The sequence below is a fragment of the Homo sapiens genome, chromosome 7, assembly GCF_000001405.40.
Source record: "Homo sapiens chromosome 7, GRCh38.p14 Primary Assembly".
NCBI classification, from domain to species: domain Eukaryota; kingdom Metazoa; phylum Chordata; class Mammalia; order Primates; family Hominidae; genus Homo; species Homo sapiens.
This window is the reverse complement of record NC_000007.14, coordinates 13,750,277-13,769,699: the sequence shown is the minus strand read 5'-3', so window position 1 is coordinate 13,769,699 and position 19,423 is coordinate 13,750,277. Positions and strand designations below refer to the sequence as shown.

At 37.4% G+C, this 19,423-nt stretch overlaps 1 long non-coding RNA gene across 1 annotated transcript in view, besides 2 other annotated features; it reads right to left on the bottom strand.

Moving 5' to 3' along the window:
* Nucleotides 3,226–3,803: an enhancer, noted in NCBI's record as "NANOG-H3K27ac-H3K4me1 hESC enhancer chr7:13805522-13806099 (GRCh37/hg19 assembly coordinates)". NCBI's record gives its function as "activates a minimal SCP1, AML or CMV promoter by ChIP-STARR-seq in naive and primed H9 embryonic stem cells {active_cell/tissue: H9 hESC(naive and primed)}" and the evidence as "EXISTENCE:reporter gene assay evidence [ECO:0000049][PMID:30033119]".
* Nucleotides 3,804–4,382: an enhancer, noted in NCBI's record as "NANOG-H3K27ac-H3K4me1 hESC enhancer chr7:13804943-13805521 (GRCh37/hg19 assembly coordinates)". NCBI's record gives its function as "activates a minimal SCP1, AML or CMV promoter by ChIP-STARR-seq in primed H9 embryonic stem cells {active_cell/tissue: H9 hESC(primed)}" and the evidence as "EXISTENCE:reporter gene assay evidence [ECO:0000049][PMID:30033119]".
* LOC105375161 (uncharacterized) overlaps nucleotides 19,162–19,423 on the bottom strand; it is a 37,849-nt gene continuing 37,587 nt past the window's right edge. Inside the window, exon 4 of the long non-coding RNA XR_007060216.1 lies at nucleotides 19,162–19,178. This is a non-coding gene — a long non-coding RNA (uncharacterized LOC105375161). The remainder of the gene's footprint in view (nucleotides 19,179–19,423) is intronic.

Below are 19,423 nucleotides of genomic sequence, written 5' to 3'. Positions count from 1 at the left end.
AGGACATGAACTCATCATTTTTTATGGCTGCATAGTATTCCATGGTGTATATGTGCCACATTTTCTTAATCCAGTCTATCATTGTTGGACATTTGGGTTGGTTCCAGGTCTTTGCTATCGTGAATAATGCCGCAATAAACATACGTGTGCATGTGTCTTTATAGCAGCATGATTTATAGTCCTTTGGGTATATACCCAGTAATGGGATGGCTGGGTCAAATGGTATTTCCAGTTCTAGATCCCTGAGGAATCGCCACACTGACTTCCACAATGGTTGAACTAGTTTACAGTCCCACCAACAGTGTAAAAGTGTTCCTATTTCTCCACATCCTCTCCAGCACCTGTTGTTTCCTGACTTTTTAATGATTGCCATTCTAACTGGTGTGAGATGGTATCTCATTGTGGTTTTGATTTGCATTTCTCTGATGGCCAGTGATGATGAGCATTTTTTCATGTGTTTTTTGGCTGCATAAATGTCTTCTTTTGAGAAGTGTCTGTTCATGTTCTTCACCCACTTTTTGATGGGGTTGTTTGTTTTTTTCTTGTAAATTTGTTTGAGTTCATTGTAGATTCTGGATATTAGCCCTTTGTCAGATGAGCAGGTTGCGAAAATTTTCTCTCATTTTGTAGGTTGCCTGTTCACTCTGATGGTAGTTTCTTTTGCTGTGCAGAAGCTCTTTAGTTTAATTAGATCCCATTTGTCAATTTTGGCTTTTGTTGCCATTGCTTTTGGTGTTTTAGACATGAAGTCCTTGCCCATGCCTATGTCCTGAATGGTAATGCCTAGGTTTTCTTCTAGGGTTCTTATGGTTTTAGGTCTAACATTTAAGTCTTTAATCCATCTTGAATTGATTTTTGTATAAGGTGTAAGGAAGGGATCCAGTTTCAGCTTTCTACATATGGCTAGCCAGTTTTCCCAGCACCATTTATTAAATAGGGAATCCTTTCCCCATTGCTTGTTTTTCTCAGGTTTGTCAAAGATCAGATAGTTGTAGATATGCGGCATTATTTCTGAGGGCTCTGTTCTGTTCCATTGATCTATATCTCTGTTTTGGTACCAGTACCATGCTGTTTTGGTTACTGTAGCCTTGTAGTATAGTTTGAAGTCAGGTAGTGTGATGCCTCCAGCTTTGTTCTTTTGGCTTAGGATTGACTTGGTGATGCGGGCTCTTTTTTGCTTCCATATGAACTTTAAAGTAGTTTTTTCCAATTCTGTGAAGAAAGGCATTGGTAGCTTGATGGGGATGGCATTGAATCTGTAAATTACCTTGGGCAGTATGGCCATTTTCACAATATTGATTCTTCCTACCCATGAGCATGGAATGTTCTTCCATTTGTTTGTATCCTCTTTTATTTCCTTGAGCAGTGGTTTGTAGTTCTCCTTGAAGAGGTCCTTCACAGCCCTTGTAAGTTGGATTCCTAGGTATTTTATTCTCTTTGAAGCAATTGTGAATGGGAGTTCACTCATGATTTGGCTCTCTGTTTGTCTGTTGTTGGTGTATAAGAATGTTTGTGATTTTTGTACATTGATTTTGTATGCTGAGACTTTGCTGAAGTTGCTTATCAGCTTAAGGAGATTTTGGGCTGAGACAATGGGGTTTTCTAGATATACAATCATGACGTCTGCAAACAGGGACAATTTGACTTCCTCTTTTCCTAATTGAATACCCTTTATTTCCTTCTCCTGCCTAATTGCCCTGGCCAGAACTTCCAACACTATGTTGAATAGGAGTGGTGAGAGAGGGCATCCCTGTCTTGTGCCAATTTTCAAAGGGAATGCTTCCAGTTTTTGCCCATTCAGTATGATATTGGCTGTGGGTTTGTCATAGATAGCTCTTATTATTTTGAAATACGTCCCATCAATACCTAATTTATTGAGAGTTTTTAGCATGAAGGGTTGTTGAATTTTGTCAAAGGCTTTTTCTGCATCTATTGAGATAATCATGTGGTTTTTGTCTTTGGCTCTGTTTATATGCTGGATTACATTTATTGATTTGCGTATATCGAACCAGCCTTGCATCTCAGGGATGAAGCCCACTTGATCATGGTGGATAAGCTTTTTGATGTGCTGCTGGATTCGTTTTGCCAGTATTTTATTGAGGATTTTTGCATCAATGTTCATCAAGGATATGGGTCTAAAATTCTCTTTTTTTGTTGTGTCTCTGCCTGGCTTTGGTATCAGAATGATGCTGGCCTCATCAAATGAGTTAGGGAGGATTCCCTCTTTTTCTATTGATTGGAATAGTTTCAGAAGGAATGGTACCAATTCCTCCTTGTACCTCTGGTAGAATTCGGCTATGAATCCATCTGGTCCTGGACTGTTTTTGGTTGGTAAGCTATTGATTATTGCCACAATTTCAGCTCCCATTATTGGTCTATTCAGAGATTCAACTTCTTCCTGGTTTAGTCTTGGGAGAGTGTATGTGTCCAGGAATTTATCCATTTCTTCTAGATTTTCTAGTTTATTTGCGTAGAGGTGTTTGTAGTATTCTCTGATGGTAGTTTGTATTTCTGTGGGATCGGTGGTGATATCCCCTTTATCATTTATTATTGCGTCTATTTGATTCTTCTCTCTTTTTTTCTTTATTAGTCTTGCTAGCGGTCTATCAATTTTGTTGATCCTGCAGAATGTTTTCCAGCTTGGTTCCATTCTCCCCATCACTTTCAGGTACACCAATCAGACGTAGATTTGGTCTTTTCACATAGTCCCATATTTCTTGGAGGCTTTGCTCATTTCTTTTTATTCTTTTTTCTCTAAACTTCCCTTCTCGCTTCATTTCATTCATTTCATCTTCCATCACTGATACCCTTTCTTCCAGTTGATCGCATCAGCTCCTGAGGCTTCTGCATTCTTCACGTAGTTCTCGAGCCTTGGTTTTCAGCTCCATCAGCTCCTTTAAGCATTTCTCTGTATTGGTTATTCTAGTTATACATTCTTGTAAATTTTTTTCAAAGTTTTCAACTTCTTTGCCTTTGGTTTGAATGTCCTCCTGTAGCTCAGAGTAATTTGATCGTCTGAAGCCTTCTTCTCTCAGCTCGTCAAAGTCATTCTCCATCCAGCTTTGTTCCGTTGCTGATGAGGAACTGCGTTCTTTTGGAGAAGGAGAGGCGCTCTGCTTTTTAGAGTTTCCAGTTTTTCTGTTCTGTTTTTTCCCCATCTTTGTGGTTTTATCTACTTTTGGTCTTTGATGATGGTGATGTACAGATGGGTTTTTGGTGTGGATGTCCTTTCTGTTTGTTAGTTTTCCTTCTAACAGACAGGACCCTCAGCTGCAGGTCTGTTGGAATACCCTGCCGTGTGAGGTGTCAGTCTGCCCCTGCTGGGGGGTGCCTCCCAGTTAGGCTGCTCGGGGGTCAGGGAGCCACTTGAGGAGGTAGTCTGCCGGTTCTCAGATCTCCAGCTGCGTGCTGGGAGAAGCACTGCTCTCTTCAAAGCCCTCAGACGGGGACATTTAAGTCTGCAGAGGTTACTGCTGTCTTTTGGTTGTCTGTGCCCTGCCCCCAGAGGTGGAGCCTACAGAGGCAGGCAGGGCTCCTTGAGCTGTGGTGGGCTCCACCCAGTTCCAGCTTCCCAGCTGCTTTGTTTACCTAATCAAGCCTGGGCAATGGCGTGTGCCCCTCCCCCAGCCTCGCTGCTGCCTTGCGGTTTGATGTCAGACTGCTGTGCTAGCAATCAGCGAGACTCCGTGGGCGTAGGACCCTCCGAGCCAGGTGCGGGATATAATCTCGTGGTGCGCCGTTTTTTAAGCCTGTCGGAAAAGCGCAGTATTCGGGTGGGAGTGACCCGATTCTCCAGGTGCTGTCCGTCACCCCTTTCTTTGACTGGGAAAGGGAACTCCCTGGCCCCTTGCGCTTCCCAAGTGAGGCAATGCCTCGCCCTGCTTCGGCTCGCGCACGGTGAGCGCACCCACTGACCTGCGCCCACTGTCTGGCACTCCCTAGTGAGATGAACCCGGTACCTCAGATGGAAATGCAGAAATCACCCGTCTTCTGCGTCGCTCACGCTGGGAGCTGTAGACCGGAGCTGGTCCTATTCGGCCGTCTTGGCTCCTCCCAAGAATGCCAGAACATGTAAGTTGACCGCTTATGACATAGTCACTGAAAGGCCCATGTTTCTAATAATAGAACCTCATGTATTTCCTGCTCTCCTAAACGCTAAAATCACGAAATGCTACAAGGCTTTAATACATTATACTAATGTGTGCTTTCACAAGGTAAGGAACGCTTTTCCTGATCCACCAACTGAGGAAAATAAGCTCTTCATGATCTAGAACCCAGAGACTGGGTCATCTAAAAACATATTCAGAGAAAGACTGCTCCTGCCATCCACACTGCAGCAAAATATCAGGGCCTCAAACCTTCAGTGCACATCTCACAAGTCAAAAGGCCCTCTGCAGACTCTTGGAACTGTACACTCACTGGAGACCTTACGATAAAGCTAGTCAGGGAAGTTTCCAGAAACAGAGGCAGCTTAGGCATGAGGAGCTGTCCCAAGATCATGAATCAAGACTTCTCTGCTATCATGAAACTCTTAGTTCTCTTAATTTTTAATTTTTTGCTTATGCCTACCTCTTTTGCTTGGCAGGTATCTTAGTTCATTTAGTGTTGCTATAGAGACATACCTGATACTTGGTAATAAGTAAAGAAAGAAGTTTTATTTGGCTCATGCATGGTTCTATAGGCTGTACAGGAAGCATGGCACCAGCATCTGCTCCTGGTGAGGGCCTCAGGCTGCTTCCACTCATGGCAGAAGGTGAAGGGGAATCATGTGCAGAGATTGCATGGTGAGGGAGTAAGCAAAAGAGAGGAAGAGGGGAAGTGCCAGGCTCTTTGTAACAACCAGCTCTCACAGGAACGAACAGAGTGAGAAGTTACTCACCCCCTCCCCTCCAAAGAGGACCTTAATCTATTCATGAGTGATCCACCCCCATGACCCAAACACTTCCTATTAGACCCCATCTCCTACACTGAGGATCAAATTTCAATATGAGATTTGAAGGGGACAAACATCTAAACTGTAGCATTCTGCTCCTTGACCCCTAAATCTCATGCCTTTCTCACATTGCAAAATGCAATCAGCCTTTCCCAATAGTCCCCAAAAGTCTTAACTTGTTCTGTAAGTAACTCTAAGTCCAAAGTCTTATCTGAGACTCTATGCAAGTTTCTTCCTGCTACCAGCCTGGAAAATAGAAAGCAAGCTATTTACTACTAAGATATAATGGTTGTACAGGCATTGAATAAACATTTCTATCTTGAAACAGAGAAATCAGCCAAAAGAAAGGTGTAACAAGGCCCCACACAAGTCCAGAAATTAGCAGGGCAGACATTAAATTGTAAAGCTCCAAAATAATCTTCACTGACTTCGCGTCCTGCATCTTGGGCATACTGGTATGCGGGGTAGGTTTTTAAGGCTTCTGGCAGCCCTGCACCTACCTTTGCTGGGTGTAGTCTATGTGGCTGTTCTAATGGTTTGGAGCCTGGTGCCTACAGCTTTCCTAGGCTAGGGTTTTATGCTGGCAGTGGTTCTATAATTCTGGGATCTGAAGGGTGGCAGTACTGCTCCTATTACCCTACTAGGCACTGCCCTAGTTGGGACTCTCTTTGGTTGCTCTGATGTGGCAGCAGCCTTCTTCCAGTGTATCCAGGTTTTTCAATATATCTATCCCTTAAGCCACCAAGCCAATGCAAGAATGGCTCTTGCATTCTGGGCACCTGAAGACTCTGCACCACATGGTTGCTGCCAAGGCTACTGCTTGCATTCTCCAGAGTGTCAGCCAGAGCAGTAGCTGAGGCTGTCCAAGTTGTGGCTGGAGCCAGAGTTGTTGGGATGCAGGAGCAGCATCTGAGGTGACACAGGGCAGTAGTGTCCCAGACCTGTCCCAGGAATATCTTCTGTACTCCTAGGCCTTTGGGCCTGTGATAGAAGGGGTGGCCTTCAGAATTCAGAAGATTTCTGAAATGCCTTTGGGGCCTTTTTCCCCCGTCTTGATTATTAGCACCTGGCTCCCTTTTATCCACAGTAACCTCTTTAGAAAATGGTTGCTCTACAGCACCCTTGGATGCTTCTCTTGAAGATGACATTTTCTTCTTTACCACATGGCCAGGCTGCAAATTTTCCAAAATTTTTTTCGCTCTGCTTTGCTTTTAATTGTAAATTTCACCTTTAACACATTTCTTTGCTACCATATCTAACTGGAAGCTGTAAAAAGCAGCCACACCACTTCTTGAACACTTTGCTGCTTAGAAATGTCATCTGCCAGACACCCTGGGTCATCACAGCCTTCCACAAGGTCTAGAGCATGGACACAATGCAGTCAAGTTCTTTGTGATGGCATAAGAGGTTGACCTTTGCTCCAGTTCCCGTTTTCTCATTTCTATCTGAGATCTTCTCAGCATTCTCTTTACCATCTATATTTCTATCACCACTTTGGTCACAACCACTTACCCAATCTCTAAGAAGTGCCAAACTTTCTCTTTTCTTCTGAGCCCTCCGAGCTCTTCCAACCTCTGCCCATTACCCAGTTCTAAAGCTGCTTCCACATTTTCAGGTATCTTTATTTAAATACCCCACTACAGGTATCAATTTTCTGTCTTGGTCCATTTTGTGTTGCTATAAAAAATACCCAAGACTGAGTAATTTATAAACAAAAAGGGTTTATTTGATTCACAGTTCTGTAGGCTGGAGAGAAAGCTTGACAGCAGCATCTGTTCCTGGTGAAGGCCTCAAGCTGCTTCCATTCATGGTAGGAAGTGAAGTAGAGCATCTGCAGGGATCACATGGCAAGAGGGGTTGCTGGAGAGAGGTAGAGGGGAGATGCCAGGCTTTTTTTTTTTTTTCTTTAGTTTTCTTTTTGTTTTTAACAACCAGAACTCATGAGAACAATAGAGCAAGAACTCAATCACATTTCTCCCTCTCACACCCTCCAAGAGGACATTAATCTATTCATGAGGGATCCACTCCTATGACCCAAACGCCTCCCATTAAGCGCACCTCTAAAGTTGGGGATTAAATTTCAATATGAGATTTGAAGGGAGACAAACATCAAAACCAAAGCAGCAGAAGAATGCTGTAATTAAAATTTCACAATCAGTAATATCTGTGAGTAACTTGACAGAGTGTTGAATATGTCATATCAAACCCAGGTCTTTATATGACTTAAGGGATCCTGTAATTTACTTTGTGGGTTACTTTAGTAACATCCTTAATGTAACTGTTGTTTGAATTGTACCAGTGGTAAGATTTCTCAACCAACTTGTTGGCATTCTCTGTTTTAATGGTATGCAGAGCCAGGACCAATGAGTATATCACAAAACAGACTTACTTAAATGGAGTTTTTTTTTTGCAAATTAGCTATATGCCATGATACCACAATGTTATTTTAACCTGTAATAATTCTGTCTCAGACTCTTGGCCAGAAGCTGTTATAACGTATATGTGAGCAATAGGTCTTTGTGTCCACTCAAGGGTTATACTTTTATTTATGGAGGATTTCACAGCCTATCTAATCCATGGGCAACGTTATGTCTTGTTGGATTGAAGATGAAGGGTCAATGTGGGTTTCAAATTCATCTCTGCTGCTCCAAATCAGTAGAAACAGAGTACTGGTCCACTCCTCTTATCTTACATCATACATTAAAGAGAACATTGTCAGGAGGTCTTCACCCTTCCGGATAGGCATCATTTGTCAGGCCTCCTTTTCCATGGCTTGGAGTAAATATATAATAAGTGAGGCAATAATTAGAGATGTATCCTTCATAATAGGTTCTATAGCAGATTCTACTGCAAAGGCTATAATTGCAGAGCAGACTTCTTTACATTCTCTTGTTAAAGTTGTACTAAATAATAGAATTGCTCTAAATTACCTGTTAGCTGAACAGGAAAGAATCTGCAATTGCTCAGACTTCTTGTTACACATGGAGGAATACATCAGGTATTAGAGACCTGGTTGCAAGGGATTAACAAACAGGCTGCTTGGTTAAAATGGGTAGACTTTTCATCTGGCACATTCTTTCATCTATTTCATTTTAGTTGGTTTGGTTTATGGGGAGCCTGGCTAAGCAGCATATTTGGTATTGTCCTTCTGATAGTTATAATAATAGTCTCTCTGGTGCACTGTATTCTCTCAAAAGTTTTAAATGTTTGCATGCAGCCATCTGTAGAATGTTAAATAGACATTCTTTGATTGGAAGATAAAAAGTTAAAGAAATGTGCGTTCATGAGGAGACCATAACCTATGAATGACATAGTGAGACTGGCAAGCTAAAATGATGGTAACTGAGACTAGTGCTAATGCCCTAAGTTTTGATCACTCTCACCTAGATGAGATCCTGATCAAAAGGGAGAAATTTTTAAACAAAATTATTGGAGGTCATTATTTTGGACTGAGCTGCTGCACTAGGCCCCAACAGACTAGACCAAATGAAAATGAAGTCACTCACGCTAAGTGCCACATCATAAAATAAAACTTTAAGGAAATAAATCTCAAAACAGGCCCATTTTTGTTTTCCTCTCTCAAACAGATTTTAGGATAGTAAGGAAGCCTCCTCTGCTCTCTTACAAAAAAGAAATCTGAAGAGACCTGATGCTCCCCAGCGTTTTTTCCTGCTGTTCGGTTTCCTTGTTCCCACCTACGAAACCCATTGTTCTGCCATTCTCCAAAGCGATTTGAGACTAAATAAGTCCATTTACAATGGTGACATCAATGCCTAAGGTTTTCTTTAATCTTTTTCAATTAAGAAGTTGACAAAATGGGAAATTGTTAAATTACGCTTGGCCAAAAGGTTTTTCAATACACAATAAACTGTAACCCAACTTGATGTGTAAACAGATTGCAACCTACTCTTGTCACAAGTAGCTGAGCCTCAGCCAATCACAGCAGCTGAACTTCAGTCAACTACAGGCAGCCAACTGTATAAACCAGGCTCAACTAAGGCAAACACCCAGATGTAGCCAATCCAGATGTTTCTGTACATTGCTCCCACTTTGTGTATGTTACTTTCCTTTTTCCGTCTGTAAATGTCATCCAATCATGTGGCAACCCTGGAGTCACTTTGAGCCTATTCTGGTTCCGTGGGCTGCCCCATTTTCAAATTGTTTTTTGCTCAGTGAATCTCTGTTAAATTTAATTTTTCTAATTTTTTTTTAACCAAAGATAATATTCAACAAATTTGTAGGTCTCTTTGGTGAAAACCTTACACACACACACACACACAAATATATACATATACACACAATATATAATATGTATATCTATATATGTACTAAAGTAAATATATATGATGCTGTATATGTATATATATTTTTATACACATTTCTAAAATTTTCATCCAAATGATTAAGATATTCACTGAATATTATCTTGTGGAATAAAAGTTGACTCTACTTTGCATACGGAAAAACTTGAGCCATCATGTTTATCTAGTTTCTGAACAAAATAGATACAAAGCTATACTTTTAACTAATTTTTTTTCCAATAAAGAAGATAATAAGTAGTATACTGGTAAGGCTCTTTCCTCCATAATATGTCCTTGCATTCCTCATGAAATCAGACTTTAGAGATTTCACTTTCATTGCTTCAGTCTTAAAAGAGGAAACATGTATCTGACTTTCTTAGCTCTTTTTGAGTTCTGAAACAGGAAAAATAAAATCAAAGCATATTGTTGCTATGTCGTTACATGTTAGAATTGGGCATAGCAAAATTACAATATTTTCTGACTCATCAAATGATAAATCCTAGTTTCAGAGTATTGGGAAAAACCACTTAGAAAAGGATTTTTTTCTAATTGTTGAAGGAAAATTCAGAAGCTAAAGTTGAAAATCCTAGTGATGGGCAAAAATTGCACAGGCTTGGTTTGATAGCTTTAATTAGTGATCTTGTAATTGGGTATTATGTCAGTTGTCATGTAGCTGGCAGCATTCACTGAGAACACATCTAAATCCCTATTCTTCCACTCCCTCTCAAACATTGTCATTCATTTGGGTGACAATTCATGAATAATATAATAGCCCTGGGGTACAATTAATTTTAGCAGTTACACAACTTAGTAAGAAAAAAAAAAGCATCACTGGTATTATGTGTGCCTTGAAGGTCAGATGATGCCACAATTTGCACCTTTGTTGCAAGACATGAAAATTAGCAATTAGCATAAATATATTGATTAACTTATGGGTAGTTTAGCCTGATATACTAATAAAGCTAATCATATTTTACCAGCTGTAAGCATCCTTTGCACCCTCTGTAATGCAACATATGATAAGTCTTCAAAAAGTGTGAATTGAGATACATTTTGGACTAATAATTATTATTGTATGAATTAATGCACTAGAGCAAATAAGATGGGTTCCTGCTCTGGAAAGCTTTAAAAATAACAATATAATTGAATTTATTTGGTACCACCCATGTTATATTAGTGATATACTTGTGTAGTCTGTCCCTTTTATTCTTCTCATATTTCTCCCATTCTTTCCATAATTAAGGCTGCTGTCTGCATTTAGATGCTCATCATCTTTCTTTTTTATTGTTGACATAATTTTATATTTATTTATGAGATTTATTTCATATTGTTGTTCAAATACCACCAGAGGGATCTTTCTGAGTTATTCATTTGACTCCTGCCACTCCGTTATGACTTTAGAATAGAGAACTAATTGAACTTTTGGTGAAGAGTACCAAGAATTACATTGTTGACGTTTCCTGGTGGTTAAATTCATTGCTCTTCTCTTGCCCTTGCAAGGTAGGTAAGTTTCCGTGTTGAATAGACAGCACACATTTTTTAAAAGAACTATTATTTAAGGTGTTAATAACTAACATCTATTGAGCACTTACTGTATCTCAATTATTGTTTAAAAACTTTACATGTATTGTCTCATTTAATCCTCTACACAGTTTTCTCAGAAAGTTACTATAATTGCTATTTCCGTTTTATAGATAAGGAATCTGAGGCATAGACAGGTTATTTAGCCAACGGCCACAAAATTATTAAGCAACGGAGCTGGGATTTGTACTTACACAAGCTGAATCAAAGCTTACACTTTTTCCAATAAGTATGAAGAAAGAAAGAGAGCAAGTAATGGAAAAATCCAGCAGTCACCTTTTAGCGTTATGTTCTCTGTAAATGTTTGTAATGCTAGAAGTTGTAGGCTAACTCTCTCTTTGGTATTTGGCTAATGGAGGCGTTCTTTGTTTTACTGCAATGTCTTTATTTTTTGGTGTTAGTTAAAAACTGAAGGGCGTAATCTGCTGTAAACCACCGTAAATAAGTATAGATCACTTTGCAGTCAAAACAAATGATAAATGTAATTTAAAGGCTAAAGTCAGTCACTGTTGTATACTGTGTAACGGAGATGTTACATGCACCATTTAACTTCTCTTAAGTAAGCAGATACTGTGGCCCATCTTTTCTTTTTCAAGGTTATGTGTAAGAATATTGTGCTTTGAAAAATAAAAGCTGAAGCTGAAGTGGACAGATTTGGAAAGATTTGTTTTAAAGAATGTATTGTCAAGTAGTATTCAGTAGGTATGCATTTCTTTACAAGTTGGCATCAGTTTTCCAATTGTTAAACTCTCTAATTGTAAGTCATGTGATGTTTGTTTCCTAGGCCATCAGCCTGGATTGTAAGTATTGTTTTTACTTGATCTGTCCAGTGGTGACACCAAATAAAACATCTGGCCAGAAGAGAATGAATTACAGGAGATTACAATTGCACAACTTTTGTTGATAAGGCACAAGTGCCAGGGTTGGACTGTGTTTGGGGGAATAGGGCAATTTTCTGTGTTTTAGTTTGTATCTTTTTGTTGCTGTTCTGGAAAGGGAGAAGAAGAAAAAACTGGCGAGAGGACAGGGAGAAGGACAGGAGATGTTGGGATGGGTTTGTTGGTAATGAGTAAAATGCAGAGAAGTAGTGACATTGTTGGGTGTTGATCTTATTGAACACTCTTCTGAGGGCTATAAAATCCTGAGGTCACACAGCTAAGAAAGAACAGAGCAATAATTTAAGCTCAAGCAACGGCAGCTAATATTGTGATCTTTATTTTAATACCCCAACTCTTAATTTGCAGGATATTGAACATTTGGGAATTTCCAGGATGTGGAATATTTCCTAATTTCCAGGAAATAACATTTGGCTAGGCATTTCACATGTATGATTTCATTACATCTTTACACCTGCCTTTCAGTTTTATTACCATTATATAAATAAGAAACTAAGATTTAAAAGAATCATGAAGGTTTTAAAATACTCAATGATTTGCCCAGTTTTTTACAACTGCTTATTGTCCAAGCCAAAAAAATTTGATTTCAAGGGTTTATTAAAGCATCTCCTTGTACTGTCACTAGCAAGAATACTCTAAAGACTTTTATTGTAGATCATCTATTCTGTGGAAGTCCCGCCTCCAGGGACCTGGTGTGAAAGTCAACCCAAATACAGTGTCCTAGTTAGTTCAACTCTGAAAACTATCTTTTACTATTAATTTTTATTACAGCTGCCTATTGCCTGTATCTAGATTACTGGGAAATTTAGAAGCAAAACAATACCCCACGAGCAAACACTTTTTGACTTGTAGTTTTTGGCTGATTACATTAAAATACAACAGAATAATATATTCATTCATTGAACCATGTTCTAAATAGTAAACAGATTTTATTTTATTTTAACCTCAGAATCTATCAATAAAAATAAGTAGAACAGCATATAGGATGACAGTTACCTGAAAAAAAAAATAAACTATCAATAAATCCCAGATGTGTTTCACATACACACAAGCAGCATTTGATGTCTTTGAAGCAATATGCACAGTAGACGACACTTTAACTTACATGCAATATATTATTTCACAAATACTCAAGCAATAAATGTGCCCCTATAAAGACCACTAAAAGTGAAATATTAACAGATGAGATCGTACTTATGGAATCAAATTTGTTTATCATTTTTAAGTAAACACTGAGAGCATTATAAACCCATTGATGCGTTTGGATAACACCTTTCACAGTGGTTCCTATGACAGTGGCTTTACAGGGATGCTAGGTTAGACAAACAACCGGGCAATTGAAAAAATATAACGTTGGCTATGAATCAAGTCAAGTTTCAACATCTGTGACTTTCGGAAAAGTTTGAACTCTCCCACTCTCTCTCTAAATGTGTGCATAATGTTTACTGTTTGTATACTTTTGTAAATTGTTTCAATAATCAATATATTAGTCAAGGAACTTCCTTCTATTACACATTGAGTAAAATGATTGTGATACATTTAACTATTGGGCTGTGGAATCAAAATGCTTGCGTTAAAGTCTGGCTCTATAAGGTAATAGATGTGTAATTTTTGGCACTTTACCTCAGTACCTCAGTTTATAGCTTAATCTGAAAAATGCGATGAAAATAGTAGTTGCCTGAAAGGGTTATTGTGAGGATTGAATTAGTATCTGTAAAACATATTTTACCTGCTCAGTAAATGTGAGCTTCAGTGATACTGATGATGATTACATTGCATGCATAATGATGTGTTCTACTTTTCTGAACATTGCAGAGACAAGAAAATAAAATTTGGGCTATTTAAACATTAGATACTATTAAAAACATCCCCTTTCAGCTTCTTAATAAAAATAATAGGAAAAACATTGAACATAACTAAAAATTATTTGAAATTAGCATAATACTAAAAAAAACTTTGACAAATACCTGATTACTATTGCAAACCTAAACAGCCAGATCAGAAAATCGAAATTTAAATTAAAAACAAAAAGAAAACAGAGTGCCTTGATAGTGGAGCCTGGTGCTTTAAAGCTTCCTTTGTTTTTTATATCATGAGAATTGTCAAGTGGCAAACTGCTCTGGGTAAACCTGGGCAAGTGATAGGATCATACGTTTAACTACTTGCCTTGTGGAGCCACAGAAATGGCTAGCACTGCATAGGCACTGAAAGATTAAATGGTGAAGAATGTTCCAAGGGGAAGGGGGCTCCAAAAACAACTATTTAGATTCTGACCAAATGGACGGAATTTAAAACATAGATATAGTGAGTATTTTCAAAATGGCCTGGAAAACACATTAAAAACAAAAGGAAAGATGTTATGAACATGTGAAACTAGATCTAAGGTTAGTTAAATTACTGTCTGTAATTGCTGTTACATTATTTGGCTACAAGTGAAAATGGTACAGTGTATATCTTTTGTTTGTTAATACTATAAAAACAGGCCAGGCCAGGTGCAGTGGTGCATTCCTATAGTCCCAGCTATTCTGGAGGCTGAGGTGGAAGGATCTCTTTGAGGCCAGAAGTTCAAGGCCAGTCTGCGCAACATAGCAGGACCCCCATCTCTTTAAGAGAAACAAAAAACAGGCTAAATCAAGAGGAGACATATGAAACAGAAGGAGAATCCATGTAATTTTAAACCCAAGGCTTTACATGATCAAAGTAGCATTCTAATTTTCTATTGATTATTATATTATTGTGAAAATTAGATACAATTTGGTATACAATTGTCTCAAATCTAATCATTCTTACCTACATTTCAAAGGCATCCACTTCATTCCAGCCAATTAATTTCTCACATTGTTATTAATGGTAGTCACCGTGTTGTACAATAGATCTCTTGAACTTAGTCAATTAATTTCATTTCCCTTTTGTCTGTTGGCTTCTTCCCTCTAAGTTCCCCCACCTCCCAGTTTCTACTCTCCAGCATGAGGGATAGTCATGGGCCCAGTCTCTAGAATCAGACAGCCTTGGTTTGAATTCCGACTCCTCTACTTAATACTGTAGCATCCTTGGACAATTACGTAACTTTCTGTGATACAGTTTCTTCAACTTTAAATGAAGCAAATGGTAGATCTTGCATCATAGGATTGTCAAGAGGATTATATTAGTAAATACATGTGAAGTACATAAAAACATGCCTGGGACAGAATAAGTGCTCAATAAATAATAGTCATTATTATTTTTCTGTGAGATGCATCTTCCTGGGGCCCACCAGTTTTCATTCTGATCCAGAAATTTGCACCAAGGCCTGCAATTTATTGAACTGGGGGGACTGAATTAGCTGTTTTTGTAGAGCTATATGTTGTCAGTTGTTTGGAGAGTAAATAAATTGCCCAGCAGTTGATGTCACACAGTAAGCATTCGATAACTTGATAATTATTAGAAATTGTTAACATAACTCCAAAGAAAGTTCAGAAATTCTGGTAAAAATTTTCCTTTTTCTGTAAGATACTTTGTGTACATCTTTTTTAGTATATATCTTTGAGCATAGTATTGTTTAATGTCTTTCAGATTTTTAAGCTTCTGAGAGAAGAGTCAAGTATTTTAGATATATTTTATTTTCCTTTTGCAGTGCCTGGAAAAGGGTTGAGCAAGTAATTGGGGTTTAATAAAGATTGCCTATCTGCATAAACATACACCAAAATGTATTCACATATCGCTGAATATTTTTTCCTAGATAACATTTTAGAAATTTGAATTTGAATAGGAACATATCTGTACTTTTAAAGTTTATTTAATAGTACCTATTTCTTTTTACTAATTATTAGATTTTTAGAATAAAAATATCTGGTCTTAAAAAGTAATGGCGATTATTGATCTTTTGATAAGCAACATAAAAACTGATCAAAATAACCTGAAAGGCCATTTTTGTCTTCTGGTAGCTTTATATAGTCATGGTCTAGTTACTTTTTCTTCCTTACCAATGTACAGCACCATTAAAAATAAATTATTTGGAGAAACTGGTGAAATTCTAATAATGTATGGAGTTTAATGTTAATATTAATGTCCCAATGTTGGTTTTTTTTAGTTTTGACAAGTGAACCCTGAAAATGTAATACGATAATATTAGGAGTACCTGAAGTTCAGGTGAGGAGTGGGTAGGGAGCTCTTTCTACTCTCTTTGCCATTTTTCTATAAATTTAAAATTATTTCCAAACAAAATTGTATTTTTAAAAAATGAGGAAGGAAATTGAATTACTGACAAGTCTGTTACTTATAAAAGCTAAATGTTAAACAATATGAAAAAGCGATCATTTAATATCCAGTGGCATATTCACTTAATAGAATATTAGGCAGTAATTAAAAAGTATCATTGCGAAAAATGAGCAAAATGTTAAATGATTTTGATAGTAAGTAGAAAAAAAGATTCAGACAGCAACATAATATGATTACAACCATATAAAACATGAGAATGAAAGCAAGTATATCAAAGTAGTCGTGCCGGGGCAGTGGGATTCTGACTCATATTTTCTTTTTGTCACAATTTTCTAAATTTCCATAGCTTTTACTCTGAATAATCCTCAAAGGTGAAATAGAAGCTCCAAATGACTAATTATACTACTAAGGATATGAATTAAGCCATGTTAAAGAAAAAAAGATATCTTACCATGACTTCCCAAATTTTAAAGAAAAAGTTTTTAATCACCAATTTTAGCAGGTATCTTAAAGATAACCTTATTCCACCAATGGCTTAGTCTTTTGTCTTGGATACTATATTTGCTTCATTCTTGTCAATCTTGAATACTTTCATCTTCCAAATGTCACCTCATGCAAAATTGATTAATTTACCTGTGTTCAGCTGGATGCTCTAAAACCTCTGTCAAAACTTGTTACCTGGACACTCTTACATAGGAGCAGAAAAGCAACTTACGCAAATTCAAAGTACTGCCGTGGTTTTAGATTCTGAAGAGCAAATTGTTACCAAAAAACAAAGGCAACCAAACGGGAGGCACACTGTGGTTCTGGAAGTGACTTTGAGACAATACTGATGGCTTTACTCTTTCCTTGAGAATATGTATTCTGACATTATTGACATCAGCACTTTTGGGTCTGTCCAGAGCCTAGGTTCTCTTGCTATGATCTCAGGACACCTTGCAAACTGCTCTTTTGTGTCCAGCGACTTTATCTCAAGTTCAATTTTTTAACTTATGGTGTATAATTTCATAATTTTCCTTTCCTATTCCAATTTTTATTATTTGATTGATTTCATTTAGAAAAGTAAGGAATAAGTAGAAACTATCTGAATGTATATAAATAAACATTATAATGGATGGTTCATAATATTCTGCTGTATATGGATAAATACTATATTATTTATCTGGTGCTTAAAATGCATTACAGTACTTGAAACATAAATGCAACTTCAAAATAAAAGCAATAAAATTGGGAGTTATGCCTTGTTGGCAGAATTTTTTCATATCCTGAAGGCTCCTATTTGGAAATATATTTGTAGTAAAAAAGGTGACGTCTATGATGTCTGTGTAAGTGTGAAGGGATGCTTGACAGAAAGAGACCTTGGAATATTCCCATTCCTCAAGGCTGAAGGAAATATATAAATATACATACGTGTGTATATATGTGTGTATACACACACACATACACATAAACAAAGACAGAATTCACCATCAAATAATAGGCAAGATGTGTCCTTGAAAATCATGGCAATAAGTTGCTTCTTCCTTGGAGGTGTTCTTCCATCCTTAAAAAGTGACAACAATATTATATTGGATCTTTTGTCAATGCTCGGATAGAACTTGGGCAAGATTTAGAAAATGGGCCTAATTTCAGAAACCCCTCTCTCCATGTTCAATGGAGAAAACATTTGATTGGAACTCACCACTTAAAAAGGGTGTGTGTGAAGGGATCCTTGGAAGATTTTCAACATTTGATGACATAGCTCCTTGGATGATTTTCAAGACCTGGAGGGGTCCATAATGAAGAATCATGCTGCTTCCATTAGTGTATTTTTCCTCTACATGTTTTCAGACAAAGCTGAGAATCTGTCCAATTTCTTGTTTGGCTAAGGTAGTCTTTATTTTAATAGAAAGGCTAGTCGACTTGGCACATTTGCAAATGACAAGAGCAAATGAAAGCTAGCAACATTTAGATAATTCTCATAGCCAATGGGAGATAACTTTGTGTATGTAACAGCTGCACTTTTTTTTCCACAGCAGTTTACCAAAAGGAGTAATATATTCTGAAAACAGTGAAAAAATTTTGTCTAGTTTTACAGTTGTTAATCACCATATGATTTTATAGCCATATTGTGAAAGAAATTTTGTTGGGATATGTGCATTTAAAAAGAGAATTGTACCTTTATATAGTTCATGCATCTTAACTAATATGCCACTCTTCTTTTCAATGCTATTGATATATTTAATTACTAATTAGGCTGATGGGTGAAGTATTAGTTTTGGAAATTCCACCAGCAATAATTGATTTATTCTTAATTTAAAAAGTGGAGAGTCTTGATATATCTTAATAACCAGATTTCATTTTCTCTTGAGACAATAAATATAGTTTTACAACATGTACCAAATATATTTAGGTATAACTGTTTTGAGAGTTAGAATGCTATCATTTACTAAAATCTGATGAATTTGTTTAACTAAACTTTGTTGCTATAATTATGAAAAGAGATGTTATTCCTTGTTAACAACAATAAGAACAAAAAAAAAATCCTGCAGAACTAAAAGAAAAAAAAATCACAAATTTAAAAAGTCATCTTTAAGGCTATATGATTTGTGGGGATTGACATAAAATTATGCTTCTTGATATTATTCTGTGACTCAGAATGTATCTAAATCTCTTTAGTTTGCATTAAAATACATCTTAAAGTGTTTATGTTAATAATTATTAGAAAATGTATATTAATTGATGATCTCTTAAAGTAATTTAATGAAAATATTTATTATTCCTACCCAATGAAATGTGATATAGTAGTAATTGATATGTAAGGGAAACAGGTATAGAATAGTGCAAATTTTAAGCTGATAATATTCAGGCCAAACATTTAAAAACTCTCTTTGTAGTTGATATTACCTTTAAGCTTCCATTATCACCCAAGACCAAAACATTTAGTTTCAGCATCATGATCAGAATAAAACCAATTACACATGAATGATTTATTATAAAAATGAAAGATTGTGGCCTGGCGTGGTGGCTCACGCCTGTAATACCAGCACTTTGGGAGGCCGAGGCAGGCAGATCACGAGGTCAGGAGATCGAGACCATCCTGGCTAACACGGTGAAACCCCGTCTCTACTAAAAATACAAAAAATAAGCCGGGTGTGGTGGTGAGTGCCTGTAGTCTCAGCTACTCAGGAGGCTGAGGCAGGAGAATGGCTTTAACCTGGGAGGTGGAGCTTGCAGTGAGTGGAGATCCCGCCACTGCACTCCAGCCTGGACTACAGAACGAGACTCGGTCTGAAAAAAAGAAAAAAAAAATGAAAGATTGCTTTGGTAGTTGTTACGAATTCATATATTCAAGGCAGACAGGAAACCAACAACATAAAGGCTCAAAATTTCTATTATTTCACGAAATGTTTCTGTTATACTCCAGTCAAAGCCAGAACCTCTGCAAATAGCTTATTTAAGACTGCAGTTGGTGAACATCCTTGCATCAAAGGATGGGTTCTGTGCAATCAATTTAGTTATGGCTGTCAGTATAA